The sequence below is a fragment of the Homo sapiens genome, chromosome 7 (genome assembly GCF_000001405.40).
Source record: "Homo sapiens chromosome 7, GRCh38.p14 Primary Assembly".
NCBI classification, from domain to species: domain Eukaryota; kingdom Metazoa; phylum Chordata; class Mammalia; order Primates; family Hominidae; genus Homo; species Homo sapiens.
Genome location: NC_000007.14, coordinates 560,949 through 582,408, shown reverse-complemented (window position 1 = coordinate 582,408; position 21,460 = coordinate 560,949). Strand labels below are relative to the sequence as shown.

General features: G+C 56.5%; 1 protein-coding gene and 1 long non-coding RNA gene across 12 annotated transcripts in view, besides 2 other annotated features; one reads left to right on the top strand and one right to left on the bottom strand.

Moving 5' to 3' along the window:
• The window catches only part of PRKAR1B (protein kinase cAMP-dependent type I regulatory subunit beta), a 179,738-nt gene that overhangs the window by 146,526 nt on the left and 11,752 nt on the right, over nt 1–21,460 (top strand). For all 11 annotated transcript variants that reach the window (XM_047420607.1, NM_001164759.1, XM_047420608.1 and 8 more), the window contains one exon: nt 3,032–3,153. In XM_047420607.1, coding sequence (XP_047276563.1) covers nt 3,032–3,153 — 122 coding nt within the window. The remainder of the gene's footprint in view (nt 1–3,031; nt 3,154–21,460) is intronic.
• Nucleotides 8,755–9,524: an enhancer, noted in NCBI's record as "H3K27ac-H3K4me1 hESC enhancer chr7:612522-613291 (GRCh37/hg19 assembly coordinates)". NCBI's record gives its function as "activates a minimal SCP1, AML or CMV promoter by ChIP-STARR-seq in naive H9 embryonic stem cells {active_cell/tissue: H9 hESC(naive)}" and the evidence as "EXISTENCE:reporter gene assay evidence [ECO:0000049][PMID:30033119]".
• Nucleotides 9,525–10,293: an enhancer, noted in NCBI's record as "H3K27ac-H3K4me1 hESC enhancer chr7:611753-612521 (GRCh37/hg19 assembly coordinates)". NCBI's record gives its function as "activates a minimal SCP1, AML or CMV promoter by ChIP-STARR-seq in primed H9 embryonic stem cells {active_cell/tissue: H9 hESC(primed)}" and the evidence as "EXISTENCE:reporter gene assay evidence [ECO:0000049][PMID:30033119]".
• On the bottom strand, nt 16,790–20,451 carry PRKAR1B-AS2 (PRKAR1B antisense RNA 2). Its single transcript, NR_132384.1, has 2 exons — nt 20,399–20,451; nt 16,790–17,308 (listed from the first exon to the last, which is right to left on the bottom strand). It is a non-coding gene; the product is annotated as a PRKAR1B antisense RNA 2 (long non-coding RNA).

Here is a 21,460-nt window from a genome sequence, read left to right as displayed (position 1 = left end):
TCCGCAGGCAGCTTGGCCGGAGGGATGGCCCTGGATGAGCCTGAAGCCGTGGGCTTCGGCATTTCTGTCCCCACACCAGAAACCTGGGAACGGCTTTTGTGCCTGGATGCTCCTGGGACCCCGCTTTCTCCTGAACGCGCAGGGCTCGGCCCCTAGGACAGGAGACCCCGTAGAATCAGCATGGCCCACATGGGAGCTGCAAGTCTGCAGAATTCCAGCACAGAGCTTGACGATGGGTTCCCCCCTGGGCAGGTGCACGCAGCCTTACGACGTCTCGTCCTGTGGCTGCAGGCTGCCCTTGTCAGGTGCTTTTTGGGACACGTGACTGCGTTTATTCTGCAGTTTACATGGTGAATGGGGATGGATCCCATCTGTGCAAAATAAAAAATTAGCTGGACATGATGGTACATGCCTGCAGTCCCAGCTACTTGGGAGGCTGAGGTGGGAGGATCACTTGAGGCCATGAACTCCAGACCAGCCTCGATAACATAGCGAGTTCCTGTCTCTCCAAAAAATTTTTAAAAAGTTAGCCGGGTGTGGTGGCTCATGTCTGTAATTCCAGCACTTTGGGAGGCCGAGGTGGGAGGATCGCTTGAGCCCAGGAGTTCAAGGCTGTGGTGAGCCGTGATCACGCCACTGCACTCCAGGCTGGGTGACAGAGCGAGACCCTGTCTCTTGAAAAAAAAAATGGGGCCAAAAGTGCCATCTCCCTGTGGTTTCTTCTGTCAGTTTTCATCCAAGATTAATGTAGCCAGGAGATAATTTTTGTTTTTAGAACTCAGAATACTACAGGTTTCAAATGTAATAGAGTAAGCATTTGCTAATCAAATATGTGGAAATGAACTTCCTAACTGCAGCTGACTTCTGAAATGAGATGCCTCGTATTACTGTCCTTGTAAGGAAACCAGTAAAGAAAACACTCCAAATTCATATGCTGGTCTCATTCTGCACCCTGAACACAAACCATAATTGCTCTAAAAAATCACCTGCATCATTTAATTGTCAGGTGTGCACTGATGTGTTGGCCTGCTTGGGAGCACGCCTGGGTTCTGAATTATTCAGCAGCTTCTGTCTGGTACAGACTTTTTTTTTTTTTTTTTTTTTTTGAGACAGAGTGTTGCTCTGTTGCCCAGGCTGGAGGTCAGTGGTGCTATCTCGGCTCACTGCAAGCTCCGCCTCCCGGGTTCACGCCATTCTCCTGCCTCAGCCTCCGGAGTAGCTGGGACTACAGGCGCCCGCCACCACACCCGGCTAATTTTTTGTATTTTTAGTAGAGACGGCGTTTCACCGTGTTAGCCAGGATGGTCTCGATCTCCTGACCTCGTGATCCGCCCGCCTCGGCCTCCCAAAGTGCTGGGATTACAGGCGTGAGCCACCGCGCCCAGCTGGTACGGACCCTGTTTTTAGGAAGCTGGTCAAACAGCTCTGGTTGTGGGGTCCTCGCCCCCCTTCCCTATGCTGCAGAATCTGCCCGGCCCTGGGGTTCGTGGGAAGCATTTTCCTTTGCAACCTACGGCGCCGACAGGGATTTTTAAGGAGAGAAATCTCCCTCCTAACCTAGATGTAAAATAAATGCTTTGCTTTTTATTTTTAGCTTCTGACCTACATAGGTAGCATCTGATTTGTATAGGCCAGGAAACGTTTGTTTTTTTTTTTTTTTTTTTGTCAAAAAAGAAATCGTTAATCAGGTGATCATTATTTTCTTATAAAATCTGACGTTAGTAAATTTTTTTTCCTTCCAAGGGTTAGGGATGAATAAAGACAGGGAAGGGAAGACCTTGTGAGAAGGGCGGAAAGATAACATTGAGTTTGCAAGCATTTAAAGATAAACTTGGCATGGGAAGTAAGCATTTTGACCTAAAATAGTAGAACGTATACTGTGCCTTAATGTTGCAACATAAATGCAGTTCCATGTTGTTTGATCAGTCCCCTGATGAACAGTGTTTCTTTTCGATGGGCAGTTACCATTCTGAATTATTTTGTTATTCATGTATTATTATTATTTTTTTTGTATTTTAGTAGAGATGGGGTTTTGCCATGTTGACCAGGCTGGTCTCGAACTCCTGAGCTCAGGCAATCCACCCACCTCAGCCTCCCAAAGTGCTGGGATTACAGGCTTGAGCCACTGCACCCGGCCAGTTTTTCTGTTTTTTTCTTTTTTCTTTTTTTTTTTTTTTTGAGACAGGGTGTTGCTCTGTCTCCCAAGCTGGAGTGCAGTGACGTGATCATAGCTCACTGCAGCCGCGACCTCCCGCGCTCAAGTGATCCTTTTGCCTCATCCTCCTGAGGAGCTGGGACCACAGGTGTACACCACCACGCCTGGCTAATTTTTTAATTTTTGTAGAGACGAGATCTCACTGTGTTGCCCAGGCTGGTCTTGAACTCTGGCCTCAAGCGATCCTCCCGCCTTAGCATCCTGAGTAGCTGAGACTACAGGTACACACCAGCATGCCTGGCTGATTTAAAACATTTTTTGTAGAGATGGGGTCTCATTATGTCGGCCTGGCTGGTCTTGAACTCCTGGCCTCAAGCGATCCTCCTGCCTCAGCCTCCCAAAGTCTTGGGATTTATAGGCGTGAGCCCACTGTGCCTGGCTTCTGAGTTATTTTAAACCACTTAGTAGGCTTTGTGCTTAGCTGGGACTCCATTGTTTGCAAAAATGTAAGCAGCTCTATTCTTTTGAAGTAACAAAAGTATTTTCATACTGAGTTAACCTGGAGTCAGTTTTCACTGCTGGGTATTTACATTAAGCCAGGGATAAGTGTCAGAATAGCTCCCTCCGCAACTGGTGAAGAGGGCACATGAGCTGCATGCGTCTGGGACCCACTGACTGCAAGAAAACCCAGGCCCCCTGGCACAGAGGTGCTGGGGGACAGCGTCACGGCCTCATCTTATGCAGCTTACTGGTCACGGAGCTGGTGTTGTGATTGCTTCTGAGGACACCTTTCGGGAAGAGCGGTGGCCCTTGTCTTGGACTGTGGCTGTGGGGGCGTGGGCCCCGGGATGACCTGTCCTCATCCTCCCCCGACAGAGTCCCTGGAGAAGTGGGAGCGTCTGACCGTGGCGGATGCGCTGGAGCCCGTCCAGTTTGAAGATGGAGAGAAAATTGTGGTCCAGGGAGAGCCTGGGGACGACTTTTACATCATCACGGAGGTGAGACGTGCTTCCCACGTGGGCGCTCTGGGTGTGCACTGGGGCAGGGGCACTTCTTACCTTCTCCTCTTCCACTGCCCGCCTCACCCTCCCTCTGGAGTCAGTGCTGCCCTGTGACCGCACGCCCGTCCGGGGCCTCCATGGGGTGGGTGGTCTGTGGCCTCACATTCCTGCCACTGAGATTCCTCCTGCCCTCTAGCATCAAAAGCCTCCCTTCTTAGAAAGGTAGGTGGCTGGTGCCTGAGCTGCACGTGTGATAAAACTGCATGAAACTGGCCGGGCGCGGCGGCTCACGCCTGTCATCCCAGCACTGTGGGAGGCTGAGGCGGGTGGATCACCTGAGGTCAGGAGTTCGAGACCAGCCTGGCCAACATGGTGAAACCCCGTCTCTACTAAAAATACAAAAATTTGCCGGGTGTGGTGGCACATGCCTGTAATCCCAGCTACTTGGGAGGCTGAAGCAGGAGAATCGCTTGAACCCGGGAGATGGAGGTTGCAGTGAGCCAAGATCACACCATTGCACTCCAGCATGGACAACAGAGTGAGATTCCGTCTCAAAAAAAAAAAAAAAAAGTAAAATAAAAAACCTGCACAAAACCTGCACACAGGGCGTGCGAGGGTGGGTAGAGCTGAGGAGGGAGTGGGGTGGGGGATGGCACCGCGTCCGCATCCCGGCCATGGCGTGGCACTGTGTGTACACAGCAGGTCACTGTTGGGGACATCGCATACATTCAGGGTACGCAGGATCTCTCTATATTATTTCTAACAACCGCACTCAAATGTACGATGATGGCAAAATTAAAAGTTTAATTTTAAAAAGACGGTGGCAGCTTCTCTATCTGGATGTGTGTGTGAGTCATTTTTGCCGTCTCACGCCACGGCCCCACCACAGGCAGGCGACAGGTGGCTCCGTGGAGCTCCCGGGATGTGCTGGGGCCGCAGTCCGTGGTGGCCGCACGCAGACTGTTGGGTGGGCCGAGCAGCTGTCCTGAGGACACGGCAGGAATTCGCGTGTGAACTCCCATTCCGGGTGCCGGCGAGGGACTCCGTGCCTGAGAGTTAGCAGGTGGGACTCGACTCCAGAGGTGGGGCTGGGACACTGGACCTAATTGAGGACTGGCTAAAACAGGGCCAGGGTGCAAGCCACTCTCCGTAAGCCACGCCCACCCGTGCACCATTGTCAGTTTACCGTTGCCATGACAACACCCGGGCGCTCCCGCCCCTTTCCATGGCAATGTGGTCTGATGACCCGGAAAATTACCACCCTTAACCAGAGAGCTGTGTATAACCCACCCCTTAATGTGCACATAATTTAAAGTGGGTATAAATGGGACTGCAAAAGCGCCCTGAGCTGCTACCCTCAGCGCACTGCCTAGCGGGAGCGGCTCCGAGCTGTAACACCAAACACTGCCACCTCAGTAAAGCTGTTCATTCCACCTCCTGCTGGCCCTTGAATCCTGTCCTGGGCAAAGTCAAGAACCCTCGTGGGCTAAGCCCCACTTTGGGGCCCACATGCATCACCTGTGCCCCATGGTTGTTTGAACTGTGGCCTGCCCGGCGATCTGAAGCCCCCTCCCTTCGGATTCATGCTGCAGGAACTGGGCCGGAACCCCAGGGCCGGCAGTGCGTCCGTCGTCCGGAGGCTCTGCCTGGGGCCTCCCTGAGAGGAACCCCCTCCCCAGGTGGCCCCGGGCAGGAATGAGTGACCTGTCCAGGCTGTGTGGTGACCTGCCCGGCTCTGCAGAGCTACACGTATGCTCCCGTGTGTCTGACATGTTCCCCATGTCTCCGGCCCTCAAGGGTGAGCAGGATCTCACGCTTGCATGCTCCCTAAGCACACGCCCCAACTCTGTACCTGTCATCGGGAAATGCGTGCGTCAGGGTGGCGGAGTTTAAGGTCCCGTCCTCGCCGAAACACCCGCAGCTGTGGGCAGTGACGAGGATCATTTTGGGTCCAGAAGGAGGGCACCTCTCTGCCCTGGGGGCTGCTGGAAAGAAACAGGAGGTCAGCAAAGAGCTCAAGTCCCAGTGGATGTTTGGCAACTTCGGCAAATTCGGGAGCCAGTGTCTTGGTTCGAAACAACAGAAGCCCAGCAATGCGGCTGGGGCCGCTGATGGAGTTGGACGGGGCCGCTGATGGCGTTGGACGAGGCCGTTGATGGAGTTGGATGAGGCCGCTGATGGCATTGGGTGAGGTGACTGATGGAGTTGGACGGGGCCGCTGATGGCGTTGGGTGAGGCGACTGATGGAGTTGGATGAGGCCGCTGATGGCGTTGGACGAGGCCGCTGATGGCGTTGGAAGATGCTCACCACCGCTGGAACACAGGCCGAAAAGCAGGAGGCTGGAGTAAGAGCCTGCGGGAAGGAAGTGTGTGTTTCGCTGGAGACCCAGGCTCGGGCCCCTGCACCTGCAAATCCTCACTACCCTTCCCTGAGGGGCACATTCAGGGCCTCTCCCGCCCCTCATTCCCGGTGCTTCCCACTGCGGCTCTACCATAAGGAAAGATCTGGAAGGCTGGGGTAGAGCAGGAGAAACAGCAGAGGCCAGAGGGCACCAGGCCGGCTGGGGCATCCGAGATGCCGGGAGATTTCTGCTGACCTGGAAGAAGCACCAAGGCAGGTCTCGACAGGGCAGCCAGCTTCACGGAGCTCCACACGGTGGATTTGGGGTTCCCGGACCTGAGTCACTTCCGTCTCCACGTCCCAGAATGCTCATTGTGTGAATGAATTAATGAATGCATGAAGGAATGATGCTTGTCTCCAACCTAAAAGTACAGCAGGCTGCACGGACATTCACGAAGGGGGTCCTTGCGGGGGAGCCGTTATCAGGCAGTATTTCCGGTCGGTAGAGTAGAGGACTCGTTCAACAGTGATGCTTCTTTAAAAGGAGAGAAGGAGGAGGGAAAGGATGAAACCACAGGCAGCCCAAGTGATTATTCTGGCCAGCGTTGAAGGAGGCTCTGGCGGGCCCCGAGAGGGGAGTGACCCCAGCCGTGATTCCAGCGTGCACACCCGCCCGTGTGCAGAGGAGAGGATGCCAGCGTGCACGCCTGCCCATGTGCAGAGGAGAGGATGCCAGCGTGCACGCCCGCCCGTCTGCAGAGGAGAGGATGCCAGCGTGCACGCCCGCCCGTGTGCAGAGGAGACTATGCCAGCGTGCACGCCCACCTGTGTGCAGAGGAGAGGATGCCTGTGTGCACATTTGCCCGTGTGCAGAGGAGAGGATGCCAGCATGCACACCCACCCATGTGCAGAGCAGAGGATGCCAGCGTGCACATTTGCCCATGAGCAGAGGAGAGGATGCCAGCGTCATGTTCGCCCGTGAGCAGAGGAGAGGATTGCAAACCGACAGCTGAAATCTGGTGTATTAAAGGCGGCTGTTGGGCACGGTGGCTCATGCTGTAATCCCAGCACTTTGGGAGGCCAAGGTAGGAAGAGGATCACTCGAGCCCAGGCATTCAAGACCAGCCTGGGCAACATAGTGAGACCCCATCTCTACTAAAAATTTAAAAATTATCAGCACCATAAGACAGGTGAAAAAATTAGCTGGGTGTGGTGGTGCACGCCTGTAGTCCCAGCTACTTGGGAGGCGGAGGCGGGAGGATCGCTTGAGCTCAGGAGTTCAAGGCTACAGTGAGCTATGATTGCGCCATTGCACTCCAGCCTGGGCAACAGAGAGAGACCCTGTCTCAAAACCAAAACCAAAACCAAAAACAAAAAAAGATGGCTTCAAATTCTTGGCTGTCTTTCCTGTGGAAAAGGGGAGTCTAACCCCCTCCCCTTGATGCTGGGCTGGCTTAGGTACACACTTGACAGACAGAATGCAGTGGAATGATGTCGTAGGTTACCCAAGACTGGGTGCTCCAAAGCCTTACAGCTTCCACCACAGCCTCTGGGAGCCCTGCTCCCGGGATGCTCTTCTTGGGGCCCAGCAGCTGTGCTCTGAGACGCATACCCAGCCAGCGCAGCCCCAGCCTCAGCCAGCACAGCCGTGAATGCCCAGTGTCAACAGCTGCCATATGACTGTGCCATCTTGGACGTCCCGCCAGCTGGGTCTTCCGATGAGGTCACCCCTGCCTCCATCTGGATGCAACCCCAGGGGAGACCCCGAGTGAGAACCGCCCGGCTGAGCCCCTCCAACCCCCGAACTGTGAAGGGTAACAACAAATTGTGGTTTAAGTCGCTGACTTCAGGAATGGCTTCTCAGTTATCACCAGTTCTCGCTACTGAAATTAGTACGTCAGTAGAGCCCTTCCTTGCCTAGACAACAGAGCAATGGCGGTGGCTCTCCCGGCCGCTCCACCGCCAGCAGGACGACTGCGGTGACAGGTGGAAAGGCAGATATCTTTAGTTGCTCTAGGTTTTACAACCATTGACAAGAAACTGGTGCTTACAGGCTCAATCTGGCCCAGAGACAAATTTGTGTTGGCCTGTGCAGTGTTTTTTTAAACATTTGGATTACTTGTTGATATTTTATAGTCAGGAGATTTCACATAAAAATCTGGGTCGCTGGCCAGGCGTGGTGGCTCACGCCTATAATCCCAGCACTTTGGGAGGCTGAGGCAGATGGATCACTTGAGGTCAGGACTTCAAGATCAGCCTGGCCAACATGGTGAAACCCCATCTCTACTAAAAATACAAAAATTAGCCGGGTGTGGTAGCAGGTGCCTGTAATCCCGGCTACTGGGAGGCTGAGGCATAAGAATCACTTGAACCCAGGAGGCAGAGATTGCAGTGAGCTGAGATCACGCCATTGTACTCCAGCCTGGGCCACAGAGCAAGAGCCTGTCTCAAAAAAAAAAAAAAATCTGGATCTGTTAATTCTCTTTAAAAATCTGACATCCGGCCACACTGGACCTGCAGCCCTGTCTGGCCCTACCCAGCTGGAGCTGAGAGGCAGATGCCCCTTCTGGTGTGAAAGGCTTCCCAGCTTTCTCAGCCCCTGCCCTGCCCTGCTCTCGGCTTCTCAGCCGTCTCTGCAGGCACTCGGGGGCTTCTGAGTTGGCAGCCTCGGCTTTAATGGTCTTGAAACTGAGAGAATGGGTAGCTGTGGCTGATTCAGACAATCACCCATTATTCACTGCAGAGCAAGGCCCCTCCCAGCTGAGCCCAAGGACCCGTGTAGGAAAATCATGAAAATGTGTGTGGGGGGCGTGGATCGTGGGTGCGTCTTCACAGAGAGCAGATCAAGGCCGCACGCGCGGTGTTCTCACCCCTGAACAGAGGAGATGGCATCACCGAGTCGCGCGGCGTGTTCTGAGTGTTGAGTATGTGCCGGGCGTCCTGGGAGCCCCCCACGCACACCGCGTGTGACCCAACCGCACCCCGGCGGGGGGATTCTGCCAGCCACGCCCTCCACATCCACGCCGGGGTCATCGGCTGAGGACAGGTGTGGGGACCGGCGAGGGGCAGACGCTGCCTCCCGCAGCTGGGAGGCTCTGCCAGCTGTGCCTCCACCATGGGTGTGCCCGACTCCGCGATCCCAGTCTTGCGAGCACAACTTCCAGTGTTTTCCGCTTTCTGACCCTCTGTCCACTCCCTGGTTGACGACTCGGATTTTACCTTCTTGGGTGTTTTGCGGGCTGTGGGAGCCAGGCCCCGCAGTGGCACATCTGCTGAAGGCCGTTACGGCTGATTTTCGTGATCTTGGGGGGCTCACCCGGCTCTCCGGCAGTGTGGTTTTGTGTTGGGAACAGCTGCTTCCCGGAGGTTCTACAGGCTCTCTGCAGAGTCCCCAGGAGGGGTGCTGGGGTCAGATGCTGGCTGCCCCTCCGCAGGAGCCCCCACGCGCTCCTGCACAGGCTTCCCGGAAAGGCTCTGAGGAGGGGCATGTGGGGAGGGGCCTGCTGGTGTCTGTGGGGAGAGCAGAGCGCTGCGCAGGGTGCCCTGACCACTGACAGAGTGTGTGGGGGTCGGGAGGGGAGGTGAGGGGGGCTGTGCAGATTCACATAAAACAGCGCCTTGCACGTCCTCCGGGACGAAACTCAACCCGAGGGAAGGTATCGCTTTCATAGCGCTGTAAAATGTATTTGAAAGGGTCTCCTTGGCAACCTGGATCTTTTTCACTTTTCCTCTGTGATCAGCCAAATTTGGTAAGTCAGTGTGACCCCGGGGTGCAGGGATCAGAGGCTCGGAACCGACGCGCTTCGCAGCTTATTGCGGTTTCCAGCTGTGGACCGCACGTCCAGGGCGGCCACCGACAGCATCAGACAGGTGCGGCGGGGCCCGGCCGGTGGGGCGGCTTCTCGGCAGGCGCTGGAGGCTCAGTGGCTGCCCTCGTGGCCGCCGTTTGTTTTTCTTGAAGCAGCGCGTGGAGGAGATGCCGGTCCCTCGCTCTCCCTGGGGCCGGCGTCCTGCCCTGTCTGCTCACTGTCATTCTTCCTCCAGCAGTTTCTAAAGCACATTGTTTTGTAAATCACGGCCTTGGTGGGTCGCAGATGCCCTGTGCATGAGGCCTCATCCCTGTAGGGCCACGGAGCTCCCGCCTCACCTTTCTCTCCTCCCGCCTACCCTCCACCTGGGGCCTCCTGCTCCCCTCGGCTCTCCAGGGTGGACGCCAGTGAGGGCTGGCCCAGTCTGCAATGGCAGCCTGCTGTGCCTTGCTCCCACTCCGCCCGAAGATGTGATTGTTTTGGGAGCTGATTTCCCTCAGGTGTGGGGACCCCAGCCCCGCACAGGTGTGGAAAACAGCCCCTGCTCACACCTGTGAGGCATGAATACCTGCAGGCCTCGGGGGCAACTCCACTGCAGAGCTGAGCTGGGCGCCATGGAGGCAGCTGGGAAGGCAGGGCCAGGCTGCAGGAACCCCAACTCCCGAGACCCCCGCGGGTCTCTCTGCAGGAGCAGGCCCCTCCTGGGTGGAGGCTGCTTTTCCTTGTCCCCAACCCCACGGGGTCACGCCCGCTGTCTCTGAAGCTGTGGGGAGCTGCCAGCCCCTCAGACACCCGATCCCCACAGCTGTTGGAAAATATTCTCAGCAGACTGGAGCGGTCACTCCTCCGCAGGCCTGTGGGTTGTGAACCTTGGGAGCTGCAGACATGGAGATGGAGAGCTATGGTACCCACCGCACCCTGTGCGTCAGCGGGAGCCCTGAGCCCCAGGGCCTGGGCGTCCTGCGTCCTTGTGAGGCCTGCACCTGCCGTCAGCCTCGGGGTGAGGGGAGCTGGATATTTCTAGGGGCTCTTACCAAAGGTTGGGGGGCAGCCCCAGGCCCCAGGAGCTCTAAATGGGGACAGAGTCCTCGGTCCTGTGGCAATGGGAGCAGAAGTGTCATCTCTGTGCCCTGCCTCCGGCGGACACCCGGCTCGCTCCCCAGTGAGAGTGGCGTCCAGGGCCTAGCGGAGAGGCGGCAGTGTGTGCCAGGGCTGTGCGGGCTCCCGGAGGCGGGGACGGTCCAGCTGTTCCGTCACCTCACCGCGGACGGGAAAGTGGAGCGGCATTCGGCCGGGGCTGGGTGGGGCGGTGCCCGCCCGGGCACCATCTCAGGTTCCCTGCGCACATTCCTCCATCTGGGGCCGCACGCCTGCTTTTCCAGGCCCCTGGAGTTCCCCTCCCGGAGACCTCCCCACAGCCTGGGGGCAGCTGGACCCCGGGAGCCGGTTCCCCGTAAAAATCCCGAGACCGAAATTCCCCAGCTTCCTCCTATACGGGGCGGCAGCGGCCTGGGAGGTGTTGCTATGGGAATGCTAGAGTGGATTTATCTCCTCTCTTAGCAAATTAATTTTATGAATGTCCACAACGTTGAAACAACTGCAAAACAACACGTTGCAAAGCTGCCCTTGGGCCTGGGAACTTTTCCTGGCTCATCAGAGCCCCGCGCCTCCTCCCCGCCGACGCCTGAACCAGGGGACGGCCCATTGTTCAAAATCCACGGGTCGCTGCTGGATGCTTTTAGGAAAGGGACCCCTGCAAAACAGCACCCCTGGAGGACCCCGTGCACACCCCGTCATCGGGTGGGGTCAGCTGGGACCCAGCCTGTACCGCGAGGCTCCTGGCTGGGGTCTCGGACAGACCCGGCCTGCGCTGCGAGGCTCCTGGCTGGGGTCTTGGACAGTGCCGGTGCCACATTTTGAAGCGTTGCTGCTTACTCGTGGTGCTGCTTACTTGTGGTGGCCCTTTCAGTTCCTACTTGTCGCTCTTTTGGGGCCGCCTTCTGGAGGAGGCTCTGCTGGAGTGCCGGAGCCACAGGGGCCTAAGCCATACATGTTTCCCAGGCATCAGCTCCGGTCCCGGGGCTGGAGAGATGCCGTGGGCCGCAGACACGCCCTGTCCTCTCTCCGGCTGGCGTTCTAGGGGCGTGAGATGCTTTGGAAGGACATGAGGGCTTGGAAGAGACGTGAAGCAGGACCCGACACAGAGAGTGCTGGGAGTGGTGTCGCTTGGGCTGCAGGGAGGGTGGTGGGGGCCGTGGGGCAGGGGCCTGGATACCGGGAGGGAGGGGGCTGCAGGCAGCGGTCCAAGGTGGGAGAGCGGGCAGGGTGAGTCTGGGGGGCTCCGGTTGCAGAGCTCTGCTGACCGGGGTTGGAACGCCAGCGTTACTCTGGGTGTGACGGCCGCAATGGCCGGAGTTGGGGGCTGATTTGCAGAGGAGGGAGATAGTCCAGCTGCTTTGCCGAGGGCCGTGCCACGTGGCGAATAAACCAGACAGGAGCAGGCCGGCCACAGCACAGGGCAGTCACCCTGAGGGGACGGCGGGGGATGAGGGAGGGCTCGGGGACTGCTGGGCAGGCAGTGGGGGGACGGGTATTGAAGTAGGAGTAGGAGTCTGCCAGATGGAGGGCATCCTGACAGCCTCGGGGACACAGGAGCGCGGGAGGGTGGGGCGAGGCTACGCAAGAGCGGAGCTGCAAACCCTGGGCAGGGAAGGCTCCCAGGCCCCCCGAGCTCCTTGACGGGGGGTATGAAAGTCGCTTTATAACATTCTGCCTGGACACCACAGCCTCTTCTGAGAGCCAAGTGAGAAGTGCTCAGAACCAAATCCCTGGCCCACCCTTGGCCTCAGGGCCCTGCCACGAGCCTGCGGTCAACCTTCCGGAGGCCTAGGAGTATGTGCCTGTGGGGGAACCTGCACCGGCCGCGCGTCCTCCCTCCTCTCGCGGGTCAGGGCAGGTGAGATCCGCCGAGGTGCCGGGCTTGGCCTCTGCCCAGCGGTCACTGTGGGTGGGTGCCAAGTCTTCCCTGTCTGAGGGAAATCTCAGCGCATCTTGAAAGGGGGCCCATTTGGCCTGGCCTCTAGCAGGAAAATAAAAACATTCCTTCTGGGCTGGACTGGAAGAAACACTTTTCCAGAACCCCGGGGCTGGGCTCTGAGCCCTCCACCTGGGCCCTGTGTGGACTTTGTGCATGCGGACATCTGCGCGGGGACAGTGACGGTTCCAGGGCCCTCGGGGTCTGGCCCTGGGGTGGCCCTGTCCGTGGGGTCTGCGGGCTCACTGGCCAGGGTCATTACGGGTGTGAGAGCTTCCTCGGTGCTTAGAGGGACTCCGGCCTCACCCTGCCTGCTGTCCACCAGGTGCCAGCATCCCTCCCCTGGGCTGCGAGTGCCCCTGCTCTGCTCAGACCCTGCTGGGGCAGGCTCCTGAGTGCTCCAGCGGCCACAGCTGACCGAGAGGGACACACAGGTCCACCCGGCTCTGACCCACATCCCTCTTGTTGCAGGGCAGCCTCGTCATCCCAGGAGCAGGGGAGGGGCTGCATGCCCCCTGGCCCCCCTTTGTAGGCAAAGCTCCCCCAGGGCCTTGGGCACAACGGGCTGTGTCCCGGGCACGTCACGGCTGCCCTCTCCCAGTGAGCTGGACGTTCGGCCCAGCAGCTTGGGGGCCGGGGAGAGCTTCCCAGCACCCGGCTGAACTGTGAGATGGCTCCAGGGGACAACTGTTTTCCCAAAGGCATGGGACGTCTTCACTTGCCTTTCAGCGTAAGTGAGTTTCGATGTGAATTGGGGCGGCCGGCAGGCTGTTCTCTGCGTGGATAGAGGGCCAGGTGTGAGGCTGAGGCCTTGGTCAGCTCACGCTCAGGGTTTCTGCTTTGGGAGACAAGAACCTTCAAAGTAATTTCTTCAAGTAAAATGCCGCTTGCGGACTGAGACAGGGACGCCGAGGCGTCTTCAGCAAAGGATGGTCCCATTTGTGTGGTTCCTTTGACAAGTGCCTTTGCCTTGATATTTTCTCTCTGATTTTTTTTTTTGTTAATGTAAGTAACATTATACAAAGTTTAACACCCTCTCCCCCACCAAAAAAAAAAAAATAACAACTCTAAAAAGCACCATCTTCCTCCCTCCCTCAACCCTCCCCTCCCAGAGACCGAACCACCCCCCGCGGGCCCCGGCTTTCCATTGCAGACATTTCCAGATCTTGTTTCCCACCCGTATCTCGGGGCACCGCCGCGCAGGCGTTCCCAGACGAGACAGATGTGGAATGCAGTGGCTGGTTCCAAGGTCCCGGATTACCCTGACCAGATTCCTGGCAGCAAAGCGAGGAGACTTAAGCACCATGCAAAGACTATTGCCGTAAAGACGGATGTTTTGGCTGGGAACATCCTAACAGATGCGCAGTTCTGGACAAATCGATTTGCAGCACCCCACGGTCGTCCACCCCCCGCAGCAGGGGCTGGCCGTGGTGGCTGTGGTCCTGCAGGCAGTGGGTTGTGGACATTCCCTCCCTTGTGGGGGGTGGTCTGCTCCCCTCCTCCCAGACCTTCTGATGATGTTGAGTGAAGCCGGGGCCCTTGAGCACTTGGTCCTTCTGGGAAGTCCGCATGCCCGGGGCGGGCCAGCTCCAGGTGGTGAACAATGGTCTCTGGGAGGAAGTTGTCCTCCTGTGTTCTAAATTTGGCCACGCATGTCTCTCTGATTCAACAGCCAGGTTCTCAGTCCCACAGCTGTGGCCTGCTGGCCCTGCTGTCCCTCCCCAGAGTCAGCTGCCGGAGGAACTTGGTGAAAAGGCTCCTGAGGGGGCAGCTTCCCCAGGAGCAGGACACAAGGTCACCTACCTTGTGGCTCGGCCATGCCTCCAGGACAGGGGTGGGAAACGTGTGGGGCCAGACCGAGGGGGTGCTTAGCGGCACGGGGGGCTGTGACCTCACCCTGGCCATGACCCCCGAGCATGGGTGAGACTGTGAGGCAGTATGAGCTGAGGCCATAGGTGGAGTGAGTTGAGGTTCCAGTGGCCAGGCCCTTTTAAAAATGTTTTGTTTTTAAAAATTGTGATAAAATACAGATAACGTGAAATTTACCATCATGACCATTTCTAGGTGTACAGTTCAGTGGCATTAAGCAGGTCATTTTGCTGTGTGGCTGTCACCACCATCATCTCCAGAATGTTTCATCTTCCCAGGCTGAAGCTCTGTCCCCACCAAACACACACTCCCCACCCCCCTCTCCCAGCCCTTCTAGAAAGTAGAACCACCCTTCTCCTTTCTGTCTCTATGAGTTTGAACTCTACTGCCTGCTATAAGGGAGATCTGACAGGATTTGTCCCTCTGTGACTAGCTTATTTCACTTGCATAGTGTCCTCAAGGGCCATCCATGTTGTAGCTAGCAGGTGTCAGAATGTCCTTCCTTTTCAAGGCTGAATAATATTCCGTTGTTTGAGTGGCCCACATTGTGTTTATCCAGCCAAGCCTGTTTTTTATTTTGCTGCTACTGCTGCTGCTGCCACCACTGATGGTGATGATGATGGCGGTGATGGTGATGAAGGTGATGGTGATGATGATGGTGATAGTGATGATGGTGATGGTGATGAAGGTGATGGTGATGATGGTGATGGTGATGAAGGTGATGGTGATGATGGTGATAGTGATGATGGAGGTGATGGTGATGATGATGGTGATGATGGTGATGATGATGGAGGTGATGGTGATGATGATGGAGGTGATGGTGATGATGATGAAGGTGATGAAGGTGATGTGATGACAAATTTGGACGTAGCTATGAGGTGAGGCCATAAGGGTGGAGTGGGTTGATGTTTCCATGGGGCCAGGTCCTTTTTCAAATTGGGTTGGTTTTTAACAATTTGGTTAAAAAAACAGATAACGTGGAAATTATCCTTCATGACCATTTTTAGGGGTACAGTTCAGCTGGCATTCAGTAGGTCATTTTGCTGTGTGGCGGTTCCCATCCATGTTCTCCAGAATGTTTCATTCTAGCAGGATGAAGCTCTGTCCCCAACAAAGTCACACTCCCCACCCCTTTCTCCCAGTCGTTCTAGAAAGTAGAACCACCCTTCTCCTTTCTGTCTGTATGAGTTTGAACTCTACTGCCTGCTATAAGGGAGATCTGACAGGATTTGTCCCTTTGTGAGTAGATTATTTCAGTTGCGTAGTGTCCTCAAGGGCCATTCATGTTGTAGCTAGCAGGTGTCAGAATGTCCTTCCTTTTCAAGGCAGAATAATATTCCGTTGTTTGAGTGGCCCTCATAGAAATTATCCAGCCAAGCCTGTTTGTTATTATGCTGCTACTGCTGCTGCTGCCACCAATGATGGTGATGATGATGGTGGTGATGGTGATGATGGTGATGGTGATGATGATGATGATGGTGATGATGGTGATGATGATGAAGGTGATGGTGATGATGGTGATGGTGATGAAGGTGATGGTGATGATGGTGATCAAGGTGCTGATGATGGTGATGATAGTGATGAAGGTGATGTGATGACAATGGTGATGAAGGTAATGGTGGTAATGGTGATGTGAAGGTGATGACAATGATGGTGATGGTGGTGGCCATAATGATGGTGATGATCATGATGGTGATGAAGGTGATGATAGTGATGATGATGACAATGGTCATGGTGAAGATGGTGATGATGGTTGTGGTGATGGTGATGGTGGTGATGGTGATAATGATGGTGGAAGTGGTGGTGATGGTGGTGATGAGGTGATGAAATGGTGAATATGGTGATGATGATAATGGTGATGATGAAGGTGATGAGTTGGTGAATATGGTGATGATGATGGTGATGATGAAGGTGAAGATGAGTTGGTGAAGATGGTGATGATGATGTCATGGTGATGATGATAGTGATGATGACCATGATGGTCATGGTGAAGATGGCCATGGTGGTTGTGGTTATGGTGATGATGGTGATAGTGATGATGGTAATGGTAATGATAAAGGTGGCAGCGGTGGTGACTAACACTTTTTTAGCTTTTACTCTGTTTCAAACATTTCCATATTTAACTCATTTAATCCTTACGAGTCTCTGAGGTAATGACCATTATCCTCCCAATATGTCTGATGAGAAAATGCACTGAGAGGAAAATTCCATGAGTTCAGACCTCACCAGCTGATAACCCCCAGCCTTTTGCAGAGGTAAAGCCCTTGGCAGTGTTCCGGGGGTACCCACATCCTTGCCTAAATCTCCCCAGAACCTGGTGGATTCTGGATAGGTTTATATTATTTTACAGTGGGGAAACTGAGACTTGGAGAAGTGAGGTAGCATGTCCTTAGCCACCCAGCTGGGCCAAGTCTGAAGTCCAGATCCTCACGGAGCCTGAGCTACCCCAGTCAAGCACCGCAGCTGCGCAGGGGCCCAGAAAACGTCCCGTGTGCCTCATCTGTCCTGCTGAGTCCTTCAGAAACTCCCCACAATCACCAGACCAGTTTTAAATAGCAATTCAGGCAAGATAAAAATCAATTAATTTGCAGCCACGGGATGTTTATTTCACCTTTTGCTCAGCTCTTCTGTTGGCGACGGAAACTCTTGACTGTCCGGCGTATATTTATAGCCTCTCTGAGCACGAGACTCTCCCTGGGAAGATGGGCAGTGTCCAAGGAGCTGGTGCGGTGTTGGGCCTGGTCTTTGAAGGGGGCTGAGGCAGCAATGGATTCTGCCCTGAATGCATTGCTTCATGAGGGACTCCAGGGAGGTGGCAGCTGGCTGTGGCTGCACCCAGGTCACCTGCTCTCCTTTGGATCCGAGGGACATATTGCTTAGTAGTAAGACCAGCATTTGTGCTCCTCCTTGGTGTCCCAGATTTCCAGAAAGATCTGCTGGAGACATCCAAGCTGGACACCTTTGGGGTCCCAAGAGCCCCTAAAGGCTGCCCCAGACCCCAGCCTGCTCTTCAGCATCCAAGAGTGCGTGTGGTCCATGAGGGATGGTTGGAGCATCTGTTGGAATTATTCCGATCTTATTCCAGTCTCCTGCGAAACCCTGAAGGAATGAAGTGAAGCGTGTGGTTAGGTTTACCCTCCTTCCACTCCTGGCTGTGCAAGTTCCAATCACCCCTCCTTGGGTGGAAGCCCAGGAAGTCGCCAGGCAGGTGAATGTGAACACCTGTCAGTTGTCACTCCTGGGTTCCCAGACAGTGGCTCCCAGAATGGGCAGCTCAATAAATCTCCACTCAGGGATGGTGGAAAAATACCCCTGGGCTCCCGTCCCAGATGCAAGGTTGGGGGGCATCCGCCTGCAACACTTCCTCCCTCCAAAGCTGATGTGTTCGTCTCGGGAGTTCACTCTGGAAGTGCTTTTGGGGGCCAGTGCCCTGGGCCCTGGGCCTGTTGGTCCTGGCCGGCCGATCCCCCCTCCCCTGAGCTGTGAGGATTTATAGATGCATCTGGGCACTGCCGGAGTCAGTGCTGGCGCCCTGGGCAGTTTCTGGGGATGCTGCGGGAAGAGGCCTAGGAATGCCCTCCAGGCTGAGGGAACATTTGTGTGCAGAGGCACAGAGGTGTCACTGTGGCTGGAGTCGAGGGCCTGAATGCGGTGGGGCGGGGACCTGAGTGTGTGACTGCCCACGTGGAGAGGACGTGGGCTTGCCTGGAAGGCAGTGCAAAGCTCCGAGCCACAGGCTTGCCTGGAAGGCAGTGCAAAGCTTCGAGCCACGGAGACAGGGCCAGGATTGCTGGGAACACAGAGTCCTCCCAGAGGGAGCAAGGGCGGAGGTTGAGGCTGGCGGCGGAGGTTGAGGCTGGCCACGGAGCCACGGGAGGACCTGGGAGGAGGCCTGAGGCTGGATGGGCTGACGCTGGGGGCGGCGGCCTGTGTCCCACCCTGGCCCCACCTCCCGTCCATCCAGATTCCAAGTCTCAGGTTCCCACAGGGGTGTCCAGGAGCCACAGCTCTGGCTGGACCCGGAGGGGCCCACTGGGCTGAGGGCCAGGTCCAGAATGATGGGTGGTGGCTGCGTGGGGTATGGTCTCTGTGGGGAGACTGAACAGGGAGGGAGGAGACCCTTTGGGAACACCAGGATCAGAACGGGAAGTGGGGAGCGGGCAGAGGGGGGCTGCTGAATTGTCAATGGAGGAGGCTGGAGCCGGGCCAGGCTGGAAAGTGCTTTCTGCCTCTTTAGAACATAATCAGCCAGTGTGCACCCATGCACACCAACGCACATACTCACCCATGCACACGTGTGCACACATGCACATATACACACCCACAACCCATGCACACCCACAACCCATGCACACACACTGATCCGTGTGCACATGGACACAGGCACACCTGTGCACACACACGTACACACATGTACATACAGACATGCATGCACACCTGAGCACACACACGTACATACACACTCCAAGCAGACCCATGCACACACACACATGCACACACCGCACAGACATGCATGTATGCACACGTGCACACATGCTCACACAGACTTCTGTTCTGGCACACATGCACACACACAGTGCATACACATACCTGTGCACACAATAACACACCCATACACACACCTGTGCACGCACTCACACGTGCACACATGCATGCACACACACACCCAGCGTGCAGAGGTTGCAGAGGCTGAAGCAGCTTGGGGCCCCCTGGGGCTGGGACATTGTGGGTCTTGGCCCACCCAAGCCGGGGGGCTGTTGGACGCCTGCTGAGTGGACAGTGCACAGCCTGGGCTCTCAGCAGTGGCACCCCTTCCTTTCCTTTCCCTTCTGGCCTAAGGAATGGTGTCTGCAGAGGCAGCCTGTGGAGGGTTTTTAGGCTCATTGGAAAAGAAAACTGGGGTATCCCGTGGAGGGGGTCCTGGGGCGGACTTGCAGCCTGACCTGGCAGGTGCTCTCAGAGGACCCTCAGGGTGGGGGCCGAGGGCACGGGGCATCAGCTCCGGGTTGGGTCTAGGTGCCTGCCCACCTGCACCTGCCCTGGTGGCTGCCTGGAGGGCTGGGGGCATGTTTGATCCCAGGAAGCAGAAGCCGTGTCAGTTCCGGGCCCAGGCTCTCCTGGGATGAGAGGTGCTGGTGTGTGGAAGGGTTGGGGTTGCTGTGAAGTCACAGTGGAGATTTCATCAGCGCCCGTTAGGTTTCTGGTGTCCAGCACCCTGGTCAGTACCTGGAAGGACTCAATGTCTGTTCATCCAAAGATTGAGACTTGGCTGAGAAAGCAACAGCTGAAATGGCGGGCGAGGGTCAGGGCATCTCTGCTGGTGTCTGGGCATCTCAGCTGGGGTCAGGACATCCTGGCCGGGGGTCAGCATGGTGGAGGGAGTCATGGTTGGGGGGCATGGACCCCATGGCCTTGCAAAGAAGATCCAGGGAGGAAGAGAACAGCTGGAGGGAAGATGAAATGCTGCTGGCCGCAAAGCTATGATGGGCAGATTGGTTGTGATCTGTGTGTGACAGAGACCCTTTAAGAGCTCTTTCTGGAACCTGGTGTGACCAGGCAGATGGAGGGGCAGTAATGGAGGAAAGGGTGTGAGAGGCCCTGGAGGCCGGGGCTTGGCCCACCTGCAGGTGATGAGTGCAGGCCTGGTGGAGAGGGCTGGAAGGGACGCGTTCCAGGCTCTGCAGGGGGCAGAATCCTCAGTGCTGGTGACCCCTGGTTGGGAGGTGAGGCCGAGGGAGGTGTCTGCCGTCGTCTGGGAGGAGTCCTGTGGACAGAGATGCCTAATGGGGGCAGACGAGGAGTTGGGCTGGGCCTGTGGAGCTGGAGGCGACAGGGCCCTCACTGGGACGCTTGGGGTTGAAGCCACACAAACCACAGGCAGTGAGCACTCCCACCCACCCACCCTGAGAGGTGCCTGGGGCTGGAGCAGGAATGGCTGCCCCCACCTCCCCGCCTGGCAGGCAGCAGGAGCCTCTGTAGCCTGGGGCCTGTGCTCGCCCTGGTTCCCCGGAACCTGCAGAGACTCCCACACAGATGGCCGGGAGTAACTGGGCCACAGAAGGGCATTGAGGGCAAGGCCCGGGCAGCCACATGCCCCTTTCCTTCCACGCTTCTCACCTAACCGTGGTTGCTGGCGCAGCCACAGGCATCTCGTCACCCCCACCCCCCGGCCGCGCCGGGAGCACCCACCGGAGCTTCCATGGCAGCTGCGTAGGTCCCGGGACGGACAGTGCCTGGCTGCAGAGACAACCGAGGGGATAACTGGGTTTGCAGAAGGAAAGGCTCGTCTCACACGGGGCCAGGCCTGCCTCACTCTGGCATGCAGGCGGGGGCGGACGCAGCCCCGCACCTGTTCCCACCCCAAGCCCTGGCGCCGACGTCCGCGGGAACGGCTTGTTTCCCACGGAAGCTGCTGGGCCGTGCCTTTGCCGGGCCCCAGACCTCATGGATGATCCATTAAACGCTGGCACAGGAGCTGACCTTGGGCGGCTCGCCCGCTGAAGTGTGTTTTCGCTGTCGTCCCGAGGACAGTTTGCAGCCCAGGGTGTGTGACGTACATCAGTTCCGTCTCGGCCAGCCGGGCCTGAGGAGCGGGCAGGGGATGATTGCGGGGAAGTGGCTCAGCCTCCCGAAACAAACGGCAGAGGGACAGCTCGGTCACCTCCAAGACACCCGGAGCCTGCACGCAGCTCAGGAGCGCTCCGAGGAGTCACCGCCTGAGGGAGCAGGAAGGGATTTGGGTGGAAGGGAGCTTCAGGTGAAATTGCCTTCCATGTGGAAAAAACAGTTATTGCAACGGTTGCTTAAAAAAACATAAAAATGCATCCATGGGGCTTATTTATTCAGGAGAAATCACAGAGCACCTGGGAGTGCTTTAGAGGCAGGGGCTGCTTGCATCCTCTGTGGATGTGTGTGTGTGTGTGTGCACAGGCGTGTGTGCCTGTGTGTTTGTGCCTAGGTGTGTGCGCACAGGTTTGTGTGCCTGTGTGTGCATGTGTGTGGGGTGTGTGTGCATGTGTGTATGCACGTACCCGTGTGTGTGTGCACAGGTGTGTGTGTGTGTGTGTTTGTGTGCCTGTGTGTGGGGTGTGTGTGCATGTATGCACGTACCAGTGTGTGTGTGCGCAGGTGTTTGCGTGCACAAATATGCATCTGTGTGTATGTGTGTGTGTTCACACGTGTGTGTGTATGTATAGGATTCTGCTTCTGCCTAAGTCCAGAAGCACACAGGCAGGAAATGTGTGCACAGGA